This window comes from Homo sapiens, chromosome 15 (assembly GCF_000001405.40).
Source record: "Homo sapiens chromosome 15, GRCh38.p14 Primary Assembly".
NCBI classification, from domain to species: domain Eukaryota; kingdom Metazoa; phylum Chordata; class Mammalia; order Primates; family Hominidae; genus Homo; species Homo sapiens.
This window is the reverse complement of record NC_000015.10, coordinates 21,632,161-21,655,050: the sequence shown is the minus strand read 5'-3', so window position 1 is coordinate 21,655,050 and position 22,890 is coordinate 21,632,161. Positions and strand designations below refer to the sequence as shown.

At 35.3% G+C, this 22,890-nt stretch overlaps 2 protein-coding genes and 1 long non-coding RNA gene across 3 annotated transcripts in view; all 3 read right to left on the bottom strand.

Moving 5' to 3' along the window:
- Positions 1-2,082: 2,082 nt before the first annotated feature.
- On the bottom strand, positions 2,083-3,207 carry OR4N4C (olfactory receptor family 4 subfamily N member 4C). Its single transcript, NM_001365389.2, has one exon. The coding sequence runs from the start codon at positions 3,114-3,116 to the stop codon at positions 2,166-2,168; it is 951 nt and encodes a 316-aa protein (NP_001352318.2). The 5' UTR covers positions 3,117-3,207; the 3' UTR covers positions 2,083-2,165.
- An 11,322-nt stretch (positions 3,208-14,529) lies between these two features.
- The window catches only part of LINC02203 (long intergenic non-protein coding RNA 2203), an 87,749-nt gene continuing 79,388 nt past the window's right edge, over positions 14,530-22,890 (bottom strand). The window contains exons 9-11 of the long non-coding RNA NR_015416.2: positions 17,021-17,073; positions 16,568-16,812; positions 14,530-14,620 (exon numbers count right to left, since the gene is read on the bottom strand). This is a non-coding gene — a long non-coding RNA (long intergenic non-protein coding RNA 2203). The remainder of the gene's footprint in view (positions 14,621-16,567; positions 16,813-17,020; positions 17,074-22,890) is intronic.
- OR4M2B (olfactory receptor family 4 subfamily M member 2B) lies at positions 16,059-17,142 on the bottom strand. The gene has a single exon (NM_001395296.1). The coding sequence runs from the start codon at positions 17,042-17,044 to the stop codon at positions 16,103-16,105; it is 942 nt and encodes a 313-aa protein (NP_001382225.1). The 5' UTR covers positions 17,045-17,142; the 3' UTR covers positions 16,059-16,102.

Genomic DNA, 22,890 nt, shown 5'->3' with positions numbered 1-22,890 from the left:
ATTCAATTTACATGCAAACCTTATAATCATGCAGAAAATAATCTCCACATCTATATGCCATAGAAATATTTTCAGCGTTTTTCTGCCTTTTGCCCATATAAACTTTTTTCATTTTTACATATCAAAATATGTAGCAGATATCAAGATTTAATACATCTTTTTATTTTCATTTTCTTTGTCAAACTTCAATGGCCTTTCTCACCTCCAAGATTGCAAACTTTTTATCCTATATTTTACCACCATTTTTGTTTGCTTTCTGAAGAAGCTGTCAACACACAGACAGGTTTGTCAAAGACTTTTGCCACTACCATTACAGATTCTATCAAATATACTCATACAAAATTTAATTTAGAAAAAATAATTAGAGAGACAATAACATGAGAGGTGCTCTCTACAATTCTCTTCATGCCAGACCATGGCTGATTGATGTGTTCCCTGAGCCAAGAGCTGGGAAAGTGGTTTCTTGTCCTCTCAGTCTCCTGGTTATGGCAGGGATAGGTCACTTAGCAGGTTAGTTCTACAGTGTTTTTCTGGTAACAATTTCTATAATAGATGCCCAGCATAAATAATGGTCTTCTATACTTGAAAAATTTTATAAGTACCTAATTTCTCACATTAGACCCCACTATTAATACAGGAGTTATTAAGAAATTATTTTTAGGCAGCTAGAAAGGGTAAAAGAGTCCTCAGAAAGGCTTTTCCTTTTAATAAAAAAGCAGCCCCCAAACCATTTCTTTTCTAACAGAAAGCAGCCTGAAAAGCCATGCTGGAAGCATAGGTATGTAAATTACAGGCTTGCAGAAGTAAATGCAGGTGGCTAACAGCCAGGTCCACTCAATATGACTCTTCCCGCTCACTTTCCTTTGTTGCCACATGTGCAGTTGTCATGGCACCAGCCAAGTAAAGCCACATGTGCAGGCATCATGGCGACAGCCAGGTAGAAGCCGCATTTGCAGAATAAAAGATTAGGGTGGGAGGGCCAGTCTTTTCATGGGTTGTGTGAATGACACACCTGGTCAAAGGAATCCCCTGGGCCCTATGCAAATCAGACACTACCTCCCTGAGCCTCCCAATATAACTGACTGCTTTCCCCACAAGTGGGGTTACTCCATTCAGAGTGCTTCTCCCTCTCTATGGGGAAGCTCTTCTCTTCCTTCTTGCCTAATAAACTTTCTGTTCCTTAACCCACTCCGTGTGTGAGTCTGTGTCATTAATCGGCACAGCACAAGACAACGAACTGCAGGTATTTCCCCAGACAACGAAGCTGCTTCACTATGTTGAAAATAACTGGAGTGATTTATGTAATCTGTAATACAATCTGAAGTACTAAATATCTAATAATGTCTAATAATCATCGTGAAGCTCTGAAGAAAAAATAAGTGAAATAATTTCATGACATTTTACCATGAAACAAATTGGCTTCCTTTCTTATCTCGCCACCAAATTTTGGGGGGGAAATATATATTTATTTATATATTGATTAAATATATAAAAATATATATTTATAAATATATAAAAATATATATTTATAAATATATAAAAATATATATTTATAAATATATAAAAATATATATTTATAAATATATAAAAATATATATTTATAAATATATAAAAATATATATTTATAAATATATAAAAATATATTACTTATTTTATATATATGTAAATATACATATATATAAAATATATATAAAAACATTAAAATATATGTAATTTTAATATATATATATAAAATACTATAGTCTTTTTCATAACATACTTGCAACATACATTTGGTTTTTGATATTTTACAGTTTATTAATCTCTGCCTAAAATCTTGCTGATGTTGCTCTAACCAGTAGAGGAAAGCATTGTAGATGAACTGCTCCTTTGCTTAAAACATTAAAATGGGTTCTTACCACAATTAAAATATGAAAAAATTCTTACCTCAGACCGAAAGACCCTTGCAGTCACATAAAACTTAACCCTTAAATTTCTCACACTTACTCATTATACTTCAACCACTCTGGGGTTTCCTTTATATTCTTTAAATATAATAAGTTTATTCTCTCATTATGCATAACTCTCCTCCATTGCCTACAATGGTACCTGGCAAATGGGAGGTACCAGTGAAAAACAGGACTTGTTAAATGAATGATATGAATTCCAGCCAGAATTCCTCCTTCTCAGTTTCTTATTATAAAATCCACTTGACAGACTACATGTCGACTCAATAACCTCTTCATGGAAGTTTTCACTTCCTGGTTGCGAAGGGTATAAATCATAGGATTCATCAATGGAAAGATCACTGTGTGAAAGAGAGAAACCATCTTGTCAGCTGGTAAGGCCCTGAAAGGGCATATGTAGATGAAGATAGCAGGTCCAAACATAAGAAGTATAATAATGACACGAGTGGTGCATGTGGACATGGCCTTGTTCTTCCCTTCAGAAGCTGCCCTACGAACATGGCAGAGGATGACTGCATAGGAAGCCAGAAGCCCCAGAAAGCACAGGAGTGTCATCAGGCCACTGTTGAAGACCATCAGAAGCTCCACCACAAACATGTCGGTGCAAGCCAGCTTGATGACCTGTCGGACATCACAGAAGAAGTTGTCCAGCTGGTTTGGGCCACAAAAAGGCAAGCGGAGGATGAGGACCACCTGGATAATGGAGTGGACAAAACCCCCAAGCCACAGAGCCAACATCATTGCATAGCAGGCTCTAGGGTTCATGACAGTTGAACAGTGCAGAGGCCGGCAGATGGCGATGTAGCGGTCAAAGGCCATCACAACAAGGAGTAATCCCTCCCCTCCTCCAAGGAAGTGCAAGAAAAAGAGCTGAGTGATGCAGCCTCTGTAGGAGATTACCTTCTTCTCAGAGAGGAAGTCCACCAACATCCTGGGAGCCACAATGAAGGAGTAGGATGCATCCAGGAAGGCCAAGTTGCCCAGAAATAAATAGAGGGGGGCTGTGAGCCCAGGGTCTGACCTTATGGTGAAAATAATGAGAAAATTTCCAGGGAGGATGATAAGGTAGAAAATTAAGATCAGCACAAAGACCAAGAGCTGAATATCTTGAGACTGAGTCAGACCAAGGAGGATAAATTCTGTCACTACTGTGTTGTTTGCTATCTTCATTTCTTCTGCCTGTAGAATATCAATAAAAGAGTTTATTTTCAGGTGTTACATCTAGATTATAGTTCTTGAACTAAACACAAGGTATGCCACATTTATATTATTCTATCTATCTCAACAACCTAAGAAATCACTTCTACTGTTTATGCTTCCTCATTTCATGATAGCCAACACCCTGGTCCTGAAGCCACACTCTTTCTTCTGTTTCAGTCCTGTGCTTCTGTTTAAGTGTTCACTCATGTGAGACTTGGATGTTACTGCTCTGAATTTGTTCCTGATTTGTATGAGGCATATGAAAATTTTTCTGACTGAGAAAAAACTTAACCCCAGTTATTGAGGACTTCATGTTTTGCTTTGAATGGAAGATGAGCTGGGATTGACAGCAAAGAAGAATGACAGAACTTTTCAAGGGGACAGAAATGTTCCGTTTTTAATTATAATGGTTATATGTATCTATTTTTGTCAAAATTTATTGAGTATTGAACTATACAGCAATTAGTACAATTTATTTTATATAAATGCTACCTTAGGAATGTTTATCTAAAAACTTTTATAAAGGCAACTGTACTTACCAGAAATAATTCCCTTTTCTCTATAGAACATCAACCAAATGAACTGGTCTAAATAAAAAGCTCTCAGTCACTCTGGAGAAAACAAGATCTGAGGCTTCTCTGTACAGTGGCTTCCAAATTGAGACTGTGCTCATGCTTGGGGATGTGCATGATAATTTATTGGTATGAAAGCAATAATAGGAGAATTTCTACACTTACATTATTGTATCCTATTGTTTGAAGTTTTATTTTTGAACATTTTACATTTATATAGAATCATGATGTAATTGGATATGAAATGCATAAAGAAGATACGTATGTTTTTGGTGCATGTTCAAAAAATGGTTTGTGGTTGAAATAAAAAAATTTAAAAGCTAAAGATCTTGAGCTAGAACAAAATACTACAATGTGATACAGAAAAATATTTCATATGCTTCTGTTACACAGCACATTTGTTTTAAAATAATGTGGACTATGAAGCGTAGAGGGAAAGAGGTTCATTAACTAACTGAATGAGGAGTCGGTGTGTAAGAAGAGAGGGAAACAAAAACAATAAAGTCCCGAATTAAGAAATCAAAGAAAATATTTATAATGGCACATCTATTTAAAACATCAAAAGATATGCTTTTCAAAATATATCTAATCCTAATATATTAATTAATAGCAGAGGTTTTCAGGTATGGTCAGAATTGGGAATTATGAAAGAAGTACCTAGGCCAGGCACTGTGGCCCACACCTGTAATCCCACCCTTTTTGGAGGCCAAAGCAGGTGGATCACTTGAGGCCAAGAGTTCGAGACCAGCCTGGCAAAACCCTGACTCTACTAAAAATATAAAAATTAGCTGGGCGTGGTGGCAGGAGCCTGTAGTCCCAGCTACTTCAGAGGCTGAAGCATGAGAGTCGCTTGAACCTGGGAGGTGGAGGTTGCAGTGAGTCCATATTGTACCACTGCACTCCAGCCTGGGTGACAGAGCAAGACTCTGTCTCAAACAAAAAAAAGTATCTTACATCACATGTATGTACATCACACAGACACAAATAAATACACGCAAACACACGTATCCTAACCAAAACAGAAGCATAAAATTTTACATATCATACCCTTCTTTTCTTTTTTTTTTTTTTTTGGCACTTGGCCATTTATTGACCTTAATATTTATCAGTCTTTCTGTGCATATAAAACCTGCTAATAGAAAAGTCGGGAATCCCTCTCTGCTTACTCTTAAGTTGTGTACATCTTGCATGTTATTATGCAGTTGGTTATTTCATACTCTTTCAAAAATTGAGGATGTATTTGGGTCATAGGAGAAACTTTCAAGTATCTCTGAGATTGGGAGTTTCAGGTTCTTGCACTGTACCTTGCATTTTATTCCCTGTTATCCACTTCTGTTCTCCTACTGACTCTGTAACATCTGGAACCCTCTACCATCAAATATCTTTGATTCACTGTGTTCCCTTTGTGTGCTTCCCTCTAAGCTCTTTTGTTATATGGATAGTGCTCACATCATGCTCATTATGGATCCAGAAACCAAATATATATATTCATAAGGTGGACATTCCTCTAGGTAAAATGAAGTAAGTCCTAGCAAAATAAAAGCACAGAAATTCCTGCAAAGACAAGCTTGGTCTTGTCTAACTATATTAGAAGAACATAACAATGTTAGAAGGATCACTGTCAGTGGAAGCTGAAATAGAAATCTGAATGACTGCCACTCCCTCTATCCTATATTTCAATTTCAACAGAAACAAAATTTCATCTGTTCCTGACAATGCTGGAGCAGCACAGAAGAGGAAAGAGTGATGGGTGGGGGCACACACACATTCCAGATAAAGGCTGCGCTATGCACTGTTCACGTTTAGAGTCCAGGCTCTTGTTAAAAAGTTCATGGAGCAGGTATTTGGAGATTTGATTCCCATCCACAGGCACTAATTCACTCATTTTTCTTTATATTTCCTCATGCCTCCTTTTAAAATATTTATTTTATTATCTTCCCCTCCCATCTCGCTAAATATTTCTACACTTCATTTTTTAAGTTATACTTTTACTTAAGTTGGTTTCTCTTTCTCTATTTTATCTTCTCTTTCTCTCTCGTATTTGTTCTCTAATGATTCCCCTTGCTTTTCTCTTATCTCTTCTATTTTTTCTCCTTTGTTGTTTTTACTTCTCAATGTTCTTGCAGTTTCCAATATTTTTCCACTCTCTCTTCTTCTCTATTCATTTCTCCTTTATTAGATCTCATGTTTGCCTTCCCATTAATTCTGAGAAGCATCACTATTGTTTTCTTTTGAAACAGTAGTAAGGACAGCACATGAAGTTTCTTCACTCCAATTTTTGTAAGGGTTAAAAATACCTAACCCATATTTCAGTACTAAATTACTTTCCTTGAATAGTATCCTACTTAAAATATACTGTGTAAATACTTTTAAATTATTTCCCATTACCTCAAATATTTTGTCTGTTTATAACTGATCTTAATAAAAGTGGCACTATTCACCTTTCTGCTTGAAAGAAATTTCTCATTAATCCACCCTACCAGCAAAAACACATTTTAGAAATGTTCCCAAAATAAGAATAAGAATGTGATGTCTATTAATATGTGCTATCTAATTTGTAACCCATAACCTATATAATCACTAATTTTTTGTGTGTTCTGAGAAATGTGGATAAAGTTAGAGTATCATCAAATCATTAACTGATACCAATGTTTATAATGCCATGATTTCTAGGCAAAGTAATGGATGTCATTTAAAAAGCCCTCGTTTGGGCATCTATCTGGGTTTAAGTTCTTCATTGTGCAATTTTTTTAACCGTGAGATCTTGGGACGGTCATCTTCCTTAGCCTGAGTTATTTTATCTCACTGTGTTGATTTATGAATATAATATGAGAATGATAGCAATAAGTAGCATATTGAAGTCTGACTAAACCAAAACTAAACAAGGAAAAAATGTAGATATTAAGAGGGGCTTTAGTTTCTAAGAAGTAAATATATAATATAGATCCTCTGTCCCTGCCTTTGAAATGAGTTGCTGGGGTAAAGGTAGCTATGTTAATGTAAGAAATTACTAGAAAAGAATTTATGAAGGCTTCATTTCAGCCAGCTGTCAAAGCCCCAGATTGGTATATGGTAAGACTCTTTGTAAAAGAACCTCTCATCCCAGCAGGTGTGGGAACTAGACAGAGCTAGTCTCCTGCAAAATCGTGAAGTTGGTGAAGATTTCTTCTGCAGCCTAGCATTTCTGCATTGGATATGACTTCTGTTCCCTCACGTCTTTCAGTTAATAGCTATAGGTTTAGGACCAAGTATAAACATTCCCAAGGCAATGTTAATAAAGGCTTTATATATTCCCAATAAATTAATTCTAAATATTAGGAGAAACTGGGGCTATATTATTAAGACCAGGTAAAAGGTGCTACTGTATTACTGAATTCAGATTAAACATATTAATCTATTTCTAGTTTGAAACCCATAACCTATATAATCACTATAATTCTGATCTTTGCATTTCAAGGCAGCAGATGTCCCACCTGAGGTGTTACAATATGTTTCCATTTCTTCCTTATGTTCCTTATAAATATGGAGAATGGAAAAACATTTACCTCTCTAGTAATCTAATGCTCCTGTCAAACAGCAGATATCACCTCCTTCTAATAGAAGGAACAATAACTAATTTTTCCTGACTTCATTGTTAAATATCTCTTCTCACAGAGGAATCTCTTATGCAACCAATTTGTGATGCAATGGAGAATGTACTTTGGGAATTTGAAGGCTAACAAAGCTGCAAACACTTTCAAAGGGAATTGTTAAAATGCCAACAAAATATAGTCAAAGAATGAGACTAGAAACATGTTATATATAAATAGTGAAGTATATATGATTTAAAAGTCACTATGTTACTTCTAAGTTTTAAAATCAACATTCTATCAGTGACACATATTACAGAATAGTCAGCATGTTTACTAGGTCCATGTGGGCAGAAAGCCAAAAGAGGTTATTTTATTTCTTACGTTACTATTTTTTTTAAAAAAGTGTATAATAGGAAATCATTGATAGATCAAGAAAAGAAGTAATGTGGTCAGGTAGGTAGTATGGTAAATTCAACATATTTCTGATGACAAAGAAATAGGCAAAGAAAAATAAATGATGTTCACAAAGACTCTTTGACATAATCCTTCTTGGAGACGAGAACTGCATATTGAAGGACTAATTCCTCACAAAGAGATGTATTCTTAAATACACCCTATTGTGGTCTTGGCCTTTGTTGTTTTCATTTTAGGAATAAGTGTCTCCTATGTTCCACTAAAGCAAAGACAACTATTTTTTTAAGTAAATATTACTAGACAGAAGAAAAGTAATTAAGAATCACATAGTAGAACACAATATAATTAAATTTCAGTAGATTTATTTTTATTTTAAAAAGATTTTTTATTTTAAAAATTAATAAACAGTTTTTCAACAAATATAATGCATAATCAATAATATTTTGTTCTAATTTATGTCCAATTCAGAAAATAATAAGTGGGAAAAATGGAACATGGGGAAAAGAGAAAAAGGGAGAAAGAGATACACAAAATCATAAAGGTAAAAAAACCGGGGGGGAGAAATGCAAGAACAGGAACAAATGCAAAGACAGTAATGGAATAATAGGAAATAAAAAGCCAGGCACAAAAATGCATATTTTGTAAAACTATATACACCAAATAAACTAAAAAGTGCAGTGTTTACTTTCTTAAAAGAAACAGAAAAGAAGTGATATAAGTAAAGAAACACATGGAAAAACATTCCCATTTTTGAGTATATTATAGTCTTTCTTGCTACCAAAGATTTTTTAAAATATGATTTTTTCATAATTGTAGACATAGTTAGGGACTTTGCTTCCTAATGTTTTCCACAATACTTAAAGTGAAGATAGTCTAATGATCTAAATTAATCCTTAGAATGAAGGCTTGTTATTCCTGCTAGGAAAGATTTGTCTCCCTAGACTATCTTAGAAACTAAAACCATGTACCAGGCTGTATTGTAGTGTCTGCAATGCAGCACCGAACAAGACAGAAAATATCCCTGTTCCTGGGGATTTTACATCCTAAAGCATGGAAACAGACAACAAACAAACATACCAGAGAGAAAACAACTGATTGTAATGAGCACTATGATAAAAATATAAGAGAAAGCGGAAGAGGCTACTATTCCAAGTGAGCTGGCCAGGGAGGGCCTTTCTGACAAGGTGGCAACATTTCAACTAAGATCTGAATGACAGAACTACACCGTCTCTGGGAAGATCTGAAGATAGACTTGTTGAAAGCTCATTAAGGGAGAGACTGGTGCATTGAGAAGCAGAAAGGAGGCTAGTGTGGCAAGACAGTAGTGAGCAAATGGAAAAAATTGTAAGGGAAGATAGAGAGGTAGAGCCAATATGGGCCAAATGGCAATCGGTCAACATACTATGTGTGAGATGTAACAGGCAGAGGAGTGTTCCTACCTGATTTACATGTTTAAAATGTTGTGCCAGGTACTAAGTGAAAAACGGGCTATAAAATGCAAGAAGTGGAGGCAAGGGGAACAGTAGGGAGCATTTGAAGAACTATTAATATAAATAAGAGATGTTGGTAGGTTAGGATAAGAGGTAAAAAAGAAGACAGAAGAATTTATACCAAAGATAAACTTTGGAGAGATAATCAATGGGACTTATTGAAGGACTGCATATGAGAGGTATGGAAGCAAGAATAACTCAGAATTTTTAATGGCATTACCATAAGGTTGGAAATTAGGCAGTGTACTTTAAATATACTTGACTTTAAAAATGTATTTAATTTTTGAATAGGTAATATATTTACATTTTTAAATAAAAAATAATTCATACAGTGAGAAATTTCCTTCTTATATCTGTCCCCTATATGTCCATTTCACCCCATACCTCAAAATTGGAAGCTAATATTAATTTTTGTATCCTTCAAGAAATTTATCTGTATTTACAAGCAAGCATGAAAATAAATTCTTGGTTGTATTTCTTAGAATACAATGTATATACATTAAAATACACACATTTAAGTGTTCAACGTAGTAACTTGTGTTAAATATATGCACTTTAGAAACTAGTATTGTAAACAAGATAAAGAATATTTCCGTCACTCCAGAAAGGTTTCTTGTGATCTTTGCCATCCACCCCCACCATCTAACATCATAATGAGCTTTCATCTTTTAATTCCTAATAGCATAGATTAGTTTTACCTTTTCTTGGATTTTATAAAAACAGAAGCATATGACATGTGTTATTTTGTATCTGGCTTTTAAACTCAGCATTACGATTTAGAGATTCATGCGTATTGTTGCATTTTCTGTAGTTGTTTCTTTTTACTGCGGACTAATGTTTCATTATATACTTAACCCTAAGTTTGTTTATTATCATTTTATCCTTTTATGGACATTTGGGTTGTTTCAAATCTTAGGCCACCAATAAGGTTTTCATTAGCATGCGAATTTAAATCATTTCATAGACATGTCTTAGCTAAACACGAATGGGATTATCAGGTCATAAGGTAGCTGTTTGTTTACATCTACCTGAAATTACCTGAAGTTTCTATTAAGTTTTTCAGAGTGGTTAGCCATTGTAAATTCCCAACATCAATGTATGAGAGTTCAAGTTATTCCAACAATTAATTCACCAACATTTGGTGTTGTGTTTTACTTATGCCATTATATTTTCTGCATTTCTAATGCTTTAATGTCTTGTGCCTTCCTAACACTGGAGGAACTATCCCTCTTATGGCTAGCCAATTCCTAGAGATGGTAAAAGCCTCACTTGCAACCAATCTAGAAACCATACTCCAGCCGCTTCTTTTATCAGGCACCTATAGCGCTATTACACTCCAGGCCACTATTTGCCTTCCCTAATCACCCCAGGGCCAAGTGCCAGACACTTAGAGACAGCCCCTATCCTCCAGAGCCCACTGGAATTATTCAATCTAGCCAATCCTAAACCTGTTTATCCTGCCCCATCCATTTATTTCCACAGAAACCATGATAAAGGCTCTTACCCACATTTTTCTCATTTCCCCACTCACCTAACCAACCTCTTATTTCTAGGGATTTGTGAGTCTAAAAACTTCTTCCTTCATGACAGTCATTTCCATGACAGTGTGTCTTACCATTCCTGATTAAAATAAATACCGGGCACCTTTAAAACAGTGCAGCAGACAAGAACTACATCTTGATGGCAGCTACATTGTTTTTGTCAGTAGTTGCCACAGGCTCCCAACATAAAATTGTGGAGCTCGGAAAGCTGAGTCCTCCCAGCGCTGCTGCATAGTCTAGAGTGTCAAGTGCCTGGGACTGAGCACCTGGAGGCACTCAATATATTTCTTCATGTTGGTAGAGCATCCGGAGTCCAGGAGAGAGCACGTGAGGGTGAGGATGTATTGGTAATTGGCTATATCAGTTTCTAGAAAGATTCGTCCGAAGGGGATGAGAACTGACTGCCTTCCTAGTGCCATGGATGAATCTGGCCCACTGACCAGGCAGCACTAACAAGCAATGGGGAAACTGAGTCATTTTTATGGACGTGTCTAGTCTCCAGTATGTTATATGTTCCTGGGGCACTTGATAAACCCCTTCCTCTTTTCCTTCTCTGCCATTTTGTTCTGTTCCTCAGAGTAGTGGGAGAGCGCTCTGCCTGAACACTTGATCGTGTGTTGTGGACCATTCCCTGCTGAGTAATGACGTGCATCTTTTCGTGAACTTGCTGATCACTTCTGTATCTTCTTTTCTGGAGTGTCTGTTCAAATTTTTTGCTGATTTTTCTTTACTTGAAGACAGAGAGAAACAGGGAGATTAAGAGAGACCAAATTTTCCTCCCAGTGTATGATTTCCTTAATAATTTGATGATAGTGTATCTTGACGAGCAGTAATTTTTAATTTTTTGAGGTTCATTGGATCACTTTTTATTATTACACCTGCTTTTGTGCTGCTTAAGATATCATTGCTTATTCCAATTGTGTAAGCAAATATATTATTCTGTGTTTTCTTCTAGATACTTTATATTTCTAGTTACTACATTTAGGAGTATAATCCAGCTCTGAAGATGCTCTTATTTGATTATATTTTCACTGAGATAAAAACTCTTTTCTCTTGTCATAATATAACTCTTCACTGGTTTACTTTTTTGTTGTTAAGGAAAAGAGATCAGCCGGGTCCCGTGGCTCATGCCTGTCCCAGCACTTTGGGAGGCCGAGGCAGGTGGATCATTTGAGGCCAGGAGTTCAAGACCATCCTGGCCAACATAGCAAAACCCCTTCTGTACTAAATATACAAAAATTACTCGAGCATGGTGGCATGGACCTGTAATCCCAGCTACTCAAGAAGCTGAAGCAGGAGAACTGCTTGAACCCGGGAGGCGAAGACTTTAATGAACCGAGATCAAGCCACTGCCCTGGAGCCTGGGATACAGAGTGAGACTCTGCTTAAAAAAAAAAAAGAAAGAAAGAAAGAAAAGGAAAAAAAAAGGAAAGAAGGAAGGAAGGAAACCAGTGAGATATTATCCTGACTGCCTTTCCCTTGAAGACGATCTCTGTTTTCAACGTCTGCTTAGTTGTCTTTATAGTTTAATAAGCCTAATACTAGATTAAATACAGTAGCCCCCTCTTACCCACAGTGTTGCTTTCTGTAGTTTCTGTTGTCCATGGTCAACTTCAGTCCAAAAAATGTTAAATGGAACATTCCAGCAGCAAACAATTCATAAGCTTTAAATTATGCCCCATTCTAAGTAGCAGGATGAAATCTCAAGCTGTCCTTCTCCATCCTTCCAGGGACATGAGTCATCCCTTTGTCCAGTGTATCCATGTTATACATGCCACCTGCACGTTATCACTTAGTAGCCACCTTGGTTATCAGTTAGACACAGCATCACAGTGCTTGTGTTCAAGTAATCCTTATTCTATTTAATAATGGCCCCAAAGTGCAAGAGTAGTGTTGGCATATTGTTGTAATTGTTCTATTCTATTATTGGTTGTTATAAATCTGTTACTGTGCCTAATTTATGAATTAAACTTTATCATAGGCATATATGTATAAGAAAAACATGGTATATATAGGATTTGGTACTATCCATGGTTTCAGGCATCCACAGGTGTCTTGGAACATATCTCCTATGGATAAAAGAGGACTACTGTGTATATATATATATACATACATATATATATGTGTGTATATATATATATACATATATATGTGTGTATATATATACATATATATGTGTATATATATATATACATATATGTGTGTATATATACATATATGTGTGTGTATATATATATGTATATATGTGTGTGTGTGTGTCAGAAACCCAGCCTTTTGTCCTAGTCACATGTTTGACTGTAATTTGTTCTCTGATAATTTCATCAAAGAGGTCTTAAAAACAACATTCACAGATTTTTGTTGCATATTTAAAACTTTGTGGCCTGTTTATTTAAATGCCAGTTTTGTGGGATATAAAATCTGAGGGTTATACTTATTTATGTAAGCATGTTGTAGCTTGTCTTCACCTGGACCTCTATTTAATGGTAATTATATTTTGGAACAATGCATGATAGGCCAACTGGTCTGCTTCCAATGGAGTTGGAGGGGTGAGACTTTATAAACTTTGTTGAAGAAAATCCCTGAGAAAAGAGATTGCCAGTGATACTTGTTTTGTTCTTTATATATTCATATGTTTTTAACTTTTAATGAATATATATTATTTTAGTAATTAAAAAAACAGAAGAACTTTAATTTTGTTTGAGCAATAAAGCTCTCTTTTAACCAGATATAATAATAAAATTCTGGTTAATATTGAGATTAGCAAAAAGCCAGAAGATGAATGGGACTTGGGTTCTAAAGTTTCACACAAGTCAGTGTATAATTGAAAGTATAATCACAATACTGAGCTAAAGATAATATACTCAACCGAGATATTGCTGATTTTAAACATAGTAGCTCAGCAGCAGTTTTGAAAGAAAGAGGAGTAGGAGAGACTGAAAGAAAAAAAAAGAGATTAAAAGACATTTAAAAGTAACTGAAAGAAAATGTAGGAGTTATATAGGGAAAAGGAGTCCTGAAGCATATTTTGTATTTGACTGCTGAGGATCCTGAGCTATTTGGAAACAATATTCAATGAGACAAGATTGCATATGAGGTTAACACCTATTTCTTCTACACTAACCTGCCTTATCCCTGCCCATTATTTAAGTCAGAGTTTCTCAGCCTGATGGAGTTCTTTATTCTTGGCACTATTGACATTTTGGGCCAGATAATCCATGTGGGAGTCAGGGGCTGGGGGCTGTCCTGTGCATTGTAAGATGTCTAAACAGTACAAGATGCCAATATATGTCCTCAGTTGTGACCACCAAAAATGTCTCTGGGCACTTCCAAATGTCCTCCAAGGGGTGAAATTGCTCTCAGTCCTTATTCCAATTATGGCCTCCATGTATCAGGCTCAGTTATTACTTACTAGAGTTTGCCAAAAGTTCCCCTTTTCTTCATTGATATTAGTTTCTAATTTCAGATAATATTCTTAAGTAAGCAATTAGTTATCACACTATTTTTATGCCTTTTTCCTTTGTATTACTAGCTTCAGTATTTTCAGTAAATATCTTTCTATATAGTACAGTGTGCTGGTGTTTGAAGAGCATATCAAATCAGTGGTCCCTTTCCCAAGAACATCAGCCCTAGTTTGATGAAAGATAAGTGACAAAATGAATAGAAGTCTGGCTAGACCAAATATAGAGAAATGACAGTAAGATGATAAAAGATTTAGAAACGTAACTCATCATTTTATCATATTATATATATATATCTTTTGTACTCTATATTTTTTCATGCTGTGTTACAAAATGTTAGAGAAGTCTACTGCTTTATTCACTTCCAGGTGATGAGAAGTCAAGTCAAAAATCAGGACTTATAACGTCAATCTGTGCCTTTGGGTTCCTAGAAGAGAAGCAACATAGCATTGAAGATCGAAGAAGGTCACCATAAGGAAAAATTCCCAAAGCAAAAAACAAGCTTTGTGTACCACCATTCCATCCTGTGCATCTGAGATACACTGGGTCTGGCACAAATTACCTCCTCAATTAATAAATAATATATCTGTAAATAAATAGTAACTCTAGGAATAGTTATACCATTTGTTTCTATATATTCATTCCCAATGTTGACAAGGATCTAATTCACTTAAAATTTAGTCCATATTACATTATCAAATTTAAAAAAGAAGACTAAAGATTAATATACCCAATGCATTCTTGCCCTTCAATGAAAAGATTCCCTAGTTTTGAAATTAAAAACTAATAAATTTAAGTAAAAAACATAACCTATAAAATCAAATGTTCTAATCTACCTCTTACATTCTGAAGCTTGGAGAGTGAGTTTTTAGTGCTTGAGAATAGGAAATCAGTCCCTAATAATTCTCTAAGGGATCATGGGAACCAATACGTCTAGGTCTGTCAATGGGAAAGAACTCTGAATTAAGCACTAACAAAAACAGCACTCTACCAATTTAAGTTTAACATGAGAGGCAGAATTAGCAATTATGGAAAACATACAAAAGTGGCAAAGGAGATGATAGTTTAGAAAAAAATTACACGGCTAGATGTCTACCAATCCCAGTCAACCTAGAAGCTTTCTCCCCAAGGCTGCTTTCACTCTGAAGGATGTAAGTAGGGACTGGCTACAAAAATTGCTAGTTGCCTGGAGGCTTCATCTGGAATGACATGAATCTCATGTATCAGCCAAATTATACTCTGCTTTGAATTCATAAAAATTGTTTTCATAATGTGATAAAATTTTGAGTTCTGTCTCCAAACTGTTGAATAGACACCACCTGAAATATAAACTGAAATACCTTTATAAGGTATTTCAGTTTATAAGTTGATGGAAAATCCTCATTTTCCATCAACTCTGGAAATAAGAGGAGATAAAGGACAAATAATCTGTTTTTCCAGACCCAGCAAGATGTTGACCAGATACCATTCCACTGAGCCAACACTGAAACATGACAAAAATATTTATTTGCTAACTTGAAGCTAGCTGCATCCATATGCTTGCCATTTACTTCATATTTGTAATGGACACGTCTCCATGTCTTATTTATTTTTCTCAACATGTTCCCGTCAAAGCCAGAGCCTCTGCAGAGTACTCAATAAACAATTAGTTAAAATGTACTTTAGCAGATTATTATATCTCAAATTCTAATAATGATCTGTTGGGAATTTCAGGGTAGGTGTGAGTAAATTTATTTTCATCTTAATGCCTCTATTTTTTCAATATAAAGAGGAATGAATAGAGAAAAATTATAGTAAAATTTTAATAACACAAATGAAAGGAGGAAGTCAATGCAGCATTATTACTGCAAATACTTCCTGCTTTAGGACAATGATCCTCAGGGGAACTATAAAATGTATAATTTATCTTTCACTTCTCTTTACACAAAATATATTTGGTGACCAACTTCCTCATGGCTGCCTTTACTTCCTTGTTTCTCAATGTGTAAATAATGGGATTATGTAAAGGGAATATTAAAGTATTGAACACAGACACCACTTTATCTAGGGAAAACGAGTCAAATGGGCGAGCATAAATGTAGATGGATGGCCCAAACATTAGCACCACAATGGTAATGTGGGAATAGCAGGTGGACACGGCCCTGTTGGTATTCTCACCTGAGCCTGAAAGTTTCTTGAGCAAGGCCAGAAGGAAGGCATAGGACATTAACAGAGCAATCAAACACACCACAGAGATCAGACCACTACTACAGATCATCACTAACTCCTCTGGGAAGGTGTTGGCACAGGCAATCCGGACAACCTGTGTGATGTCACAGAAGTAACTGTCTAACTCATTGGGCCCACAGAAAGGAAGTCGAACAATGAGAGCCACCTGTATGATAGAATGAATGAAGCCCCCCCTCCAGGAGAGAGCCACCAGGATACAGCAGAGACGTTGATTCATGATGGTAGCATAGTGGAGGGGTCGGCAGATAGCAGTGTAGAGGTCAAAGGCCATCACTGTGAGCAAGAACATCTCTGAAGCCCCAGCAAAGTGTAAGAAGAAGAGCTGTGCAATGCATTCATCAAAAGAAATTATCTTCCTCTCCACAAAGAAGTCTATGAGCATTTCAGGGGCTGTAATGGAAGAGTACCAAATATCAAGGAAGGCCAGATTAGCCAACAGGAAATACATAGGAGAGGTCAGATGAGGGTCTAGACTGATGGTGCAAATGATAAGGATATTTCCTGGTAGGATGAACAAATAGAAGGATAGAAATATAACAAATAGGACTAGTTGGACCTCTGGAGTCTGGGATAGGCCAGTGAGAACAAATTCTGTCACCTTGGTGTAATTTGCAGTTTCCATTTCTTCAATTTACTCTTTTCATAATATAGCTATGAAAATTAAGAAACTATAATTAGTAGACATAGCATTTACCTAGAGTTATATCACTGCTTTCAAAATTGTCATACGTTCCCTGTCACTAACAGATTACACGAGGATACATTTGGTTGCCCATTTTATATCTGATAAACCAAGAGGGAGAGAGTATGTGATGAAGTTATAAATTGGAAACATTAAAACTATATGAAGTGTGGCATATATTTGAAACTCAAATCTCAGCTTGTTAATGTTAAAAACTTACTTTTTCTGAAATTTGGCAATGCACTACTTCTTCCCCCAAACATCTACATTAGTAAGCAATATGTGAAGCTACTTCTGAGTGTAGCCAAATTTTAGACTGGCAATCAGAGATGTGGCCTCTTTTTTCTATATCTTTTTTTTTGTTGGGAAATCTTGCCAACCTGGAAACTTAGGCTTGCATTCTAATAGCACACACACAGATCTAGCAGTACTTTAGTTGTGATACAGAAAAGAGATCCCAAGGCTTCATAAGTAGTGAAGGGACATATTTTTCCATAACTATAACCAAAAACTGTACAGCTTAATCCTTGGTAACAGGTAACCAGCCACAACATACAGCTATGCAAGGCCTTATATAAAAAATTCTTCTAGCTGTGACCAGATTCATCAATACCTGATACTACATTGAGTATAAAATTTGCTCACCACAGCAGGAACGTAAGTAGGTGTACTGATCTGAGAAATGAGTATGCTTGCTACCCAATTTGATTCTGAGCTGATCTGCTCTGCTGTTTCAAGGTGACAATGGGAATAATATTATTTTTAAAATTTTGCTTACTGCCCTGTATTGAATCTGACACCACTAAGTAGCACAAAACTTGTCAAATAAAAATGAAATAACAGTTCACATTACCAAATATGCTTTTCTTTAAGTAAGGTTAAAAACTGCCACACCAAAGTAAGTTTTGTTGTAACCAACAGCAAATACAAGAGAGTTGTTTCTTTTCTGTTGATGTGATATTTTATGATATTGCCTCTCCTATTACTTAAAAAAATTAAATATGGAAAGGAATTTTTAAAAAGTTAAGGTTCTGTAAAACCAAATAGACGTGGCTGTGTCCAAACACTTATGGGCACTATGTATACTACTGAGAAAAGAAATTAAATGCGCCATTTTTGGAACCTACTGACTCAATTTATACATAATTTTAACAAACATAGATAAATGACTTTCAATATCTTATAGAAGCATTGTATTTTGAAAAAGGGATGGCTTACTACAAGCAGACACACACACATAAAACCAGTGTTTTCCAGGAATCTGGTAGCAAGCAGAAGAAAGGTAAAAATACTCAGAAATTGAATAGTGTGGGACTATTTAGAAAAGGGATCAATTTCCCCTTGCCCATAAATTGCCCAGTGTGGACCTCAGTGAGTTAATGAAGCATATTTAATAAGATTGAAAAATTTAAAATTTGGTTTAGGAAGATTTTAATCAAAAGAAAGATAATAAGGTTATCCAGAATGAAATATTTCCTAACATTCCAAGAAACAATGATCTTATTGTACTTACCTGGAGGAGGCAGCTCATAGCCCTCATAACTAATAACACAACATTGTGTTATTAGTTATGAGGGCTATGAGCTAGTTATATACTAACTCATTTACATTCACTGATAAGTCAACTATGAGGTTCCAACAATCAAATAAATTTCTAACAAAAGCATCTGAAATATTATGATTACTCAGCTCATTTACATATTTTGCTATTATGCTATGTAGTTTTTGACCAGATGGAAGCGATTATTTGTTCCTAAGTAAATAATTGTCCCTTTATTATTGAAAGGAGATGAATATTTTAAAGCAGTAAATACCATTACAAGATCATATGCTTTTTTATTATTATGGGGACATGATGCAATGATTCTGAGTGTCGTCACACAAATCACCCCTTCTTCCTCTGCTCTACTCCATACCCATTCCACCAAAACAGAAGTAGAAAATGGCACTAATCTAGAAAGAATTTAGGTGAATGAGTGTTGATGTCTTGAAAAGACAGACATACATCAGGTATTATGGAATAGAAAGGGTGATTTTACCAGAAAAAAGTGTCAAAGAGATTTTCTTTTGTACCTCAGTGTTCAACATATGACATAAAATTAGAAACTAATGATGTATATACTTTGCATTAAGAACCAAAATCAACCACATTTATTCCTTAGGACAAAAATACAAAGGATTCATCCCTCCACACTCCTTGATGAGTGTCTCTGTCCTCCACCCTTCACAAGTGTCAAGTGGAAAAGAAATATTTTGCTGGAGCATCTCAATCCAATAGTCAGGCAGCCAATCAAACCCCCTACTCCCAAAGCTAGTAATGCTCAGCCACTACTCATCACACACACACACACACACACACACACACACACACACACCACTACACCATGTCACTTCAAGGAAGAACAAGCACCTAGTTTCCCTACATTAACATAACCATTACCTAAAATACCATAAATGACGCAACAATTCTTATTCTGTCCAGCACTTGTCATTTAACACATGTCAAAACAAAGCTATCTACATGTGATATTAAAAAGTCTATTCCTAAATATATAGCTTCTGTGTCACTTCTGTAAACTATTCATTTGTTTATCCCGCAAACATTTAGAGAGTATCTACTATATGCTACCTGCTGAGACACAACAATGAACAAGGAACACTCAATATCTGCCTCATCAAACTTCCATTCTGAAAATATAGACAGACAATAAATAAGTAAACAAATAAAAATAAAATAAAATATAAATAAGTAAAATAAAATAATTGCTACTAGTGCTAAAAGACAAGCAGGAAATAAAAAGGCAATGGTAGAGTAAATAATGATGGGAGTGGTATGTGTGTGATGGAGTATTTTAGAAAAGGTTCTGAGTTGGTGACGTTTTTCTAACTTTGAAAGTTTGAAGAAAAGCATTTTAGGAATAGAGAATAGTAAATGAAAAGGCCTTGTGTCATGAAAGACTTTCTAAGAACTGTAGAAGACCCACAACTGGTAGAAGCATAAGAACAAAATAAAGAGTTAGTCAAAGACCAAGTAATGTAGCCCACAATAATAAAATTGGATTTCCAATTTTCTTTCAATATGTTTTACAATAAAACTCGGGAGAATAGCTTAATACAATTTGCAATTTAGAAATATCACCCTGGCTGCTATGTGAATAAATCAGAGTAAGACAACATTACAAGAATATATATATATATATATATGGCTTAAACTAACAATACAGCAATAACTATTTGAAGAGAATAATAATTTGTTTAGAAAATATTTAGGAGATGCAACTCCAGGGTTTATCAATGGATCATATGTTGCTATTGTCATACTACCAAAGGCAGCTGGAATTTGAACTCCACAATGGCAATTTAAAAATATTGTTTTCCTATCTTCTGTGTCTAAAATGAGGTTCATCCAGCCCATACCACGTCCTTAATAAAATTGGGCTAAATAAACTATACATACTTGGGTATGCACTGTAACACTCCAAGAAAAGCTGGGAATTGTACCAAAAAAACCCAAAGCAAGCAATTATGTTTATGGGAAATTCTTGGGGGAGATAAGCCACTCATGAAGATTGACTTAGGGCATTTTTTTCTAAGGTTGCCATTGAGGAGGGGATGACTATTCCAAATCAGTCCTTACTCTTAGAGCAGTGGTTGGATAAGTTCCTTAAGAAGATTTACTTCATCTTACATCCACCCACCTACTCCTCCTAAGCTTCTGCTCCTCTTTTAACAACATCTAGAAAATTCCCATTCTTAATCTACAGGGATGTAGTACCTAGAGGATGACTATGGAAATACCTAGGAGTACAGGTGCATTCCCTGTCGGTGAGTGAACTGTGAAATCTTCTCAAGAGAAGCAATGCTTTGGGAGAAAACAAGAATCTGCGTGATGTTGAGGTCGTGAGATCTTCCTCTATGACAGTTTCTTCATAGCAAAAGGAGGGATTTTAACTAGAATTTTAAGAAATGTTCTACCTCTAAAATCCTATGATTCCGTTAAAGTAAAAGTAGGTTGAGAGTAAAATTCTCAGAAAGGTAAATTAAGAATGATTTGGGTAGCAATAGGGAGAAACAGTGATATCATCACCATTGTGGATATATACAACACTTAGAAAGAATGCAAATTAATTTTCCTATTTTTAGGATATGGAGCTCACTTATTCTGTGGGATGGTGAGGAAGGAGTATACAGAAGCATCTTCACCATATAGATGGGTATAGGTAGCCAAGGGACCTCGAGTGTCATAAATAAACCAGTAGCAGAAAATATCAAGATGTAGTTATTACATTGATTTTCTGTATGCATTGTTGCCCACAGTAAACTAGGCAAGAAGAAACCATTAGGATAAGAGAAGGGCTGATCTCAATGAGACTATTTTGAAGATCATTTGCTGCTTATTTCTCTTTTAATATACTTTAATATATTATTATATTTAATAATACACTTTAATGTTATTAAAGTATATTAAAATATATAGTATATACATTAACATTATTAAAGTATATTAAAATACTTATTTTATATACAACTATTAATATATTCTTTTAATTTACTTGAATATATTAAAGTATATTAAAATATATTTTATATATAATATAAATTATATATAAATATGTATATATCATATATTTCCATATATTACATATTTATATATTATATATATTTGCAGCTTATTTCTCTTTTAATATACTTAGATATGGGGTGTCAGTGCTATCAACTGAAGAATGATGGGGTTCATAAATTTGGAAAGGAGGACCTTTATTTCTCATAGAGTTGTAGCCTGAAGGGTGGCTATTATGACAGGCTGGGAAATATAGCCTCTGGCCAGGAGCCAGAAACAAATATTTCGAGACAGTGTCAAAAGGAATATGTACTGAGTGAGGTGGCCAAATACATATGCTCAATAAGCTATAGGAGGAATCTTGAATATTTATGAAAGGACAACCATGCACATGCACAATTGTGCTTCATGCCCCTTCATGAGTAGCATATAGTTGGTCTCTTATCAGGAAGGAATGCTGGTTAATTGCCATGTTAAAACCACAAAAAAAGAGGGACTGCTTCAGTGATTTGTTGATATCAGCAGTGGAGTCTTTCAAAAGAGCTGGTTTCTATTTAGCACTTAGGTAGGAAAGTCTAATGGTAGTTAAGTGAGGGCGGGGATGTAAGAAGGCACCTCTGACCGCCCATCTTGTCATGGATGAAAACTCAGCTTTTAAGGTTACTCTGGGGTGCCCTTGGCCAAGAGAGGGTCCATTCAGTAGCTTGGGGAGCTAAGGGTTTCATTTTTATTTTATTTCTCAGTGCCTTCATTCTAACCACAGCTAAGCACTTACTAGCTGTGTAATCCTGGGCAACTCACTTACCTCTGCCTCAGTGTGCCTCATTAGTGCAATGGAAATAATAACAGTACCTACTTCACAGGTATTGTAGTGATTAATGCATATAATGCTCCCCACATTTTTCCCAGACCCACAGTCCTGTTACATTGTTGATGTATCACTATTTTTAAATCCTTCAGCTATTCTCAGAAGCTTGTTTTCTAAAATGCCTGAAATTTTGTATGAATTTTGTATATATAAGTTCCATAAAAATGTCATATTTTTATGGCTCCCATAATAGTACTGTTTACACCTCCAGTACAAATTTTAACTCATTACATTGTAATTTTTCAGTTTGTATTTTGCAAAATATAACAGGAACTCTGAGCTCCTTGAGGTCATGGAGTATGTCTCATTTATATATCTACTGCCTAAAGTAGTTCCTAGCATGTTATGGTCTTCAAT

What these genes read in the sequence shown, in the direction of transcription:
- OR4M2B (NM_001395296.1), bottom strand. Translation starts at nt 17,044, where the DNA reads ATGGAAACTGCAAATTACACCAAGGTGACAGAATTTGTTCTCACTGGC.
- OR4N4C (NM_001365389.2), bottom strand. Translation starts at nt 3,116, where the DNA reads ATGAAGATAGCAAACAACACAGTAGTGACAGAATTTATCCTCCTTGGT.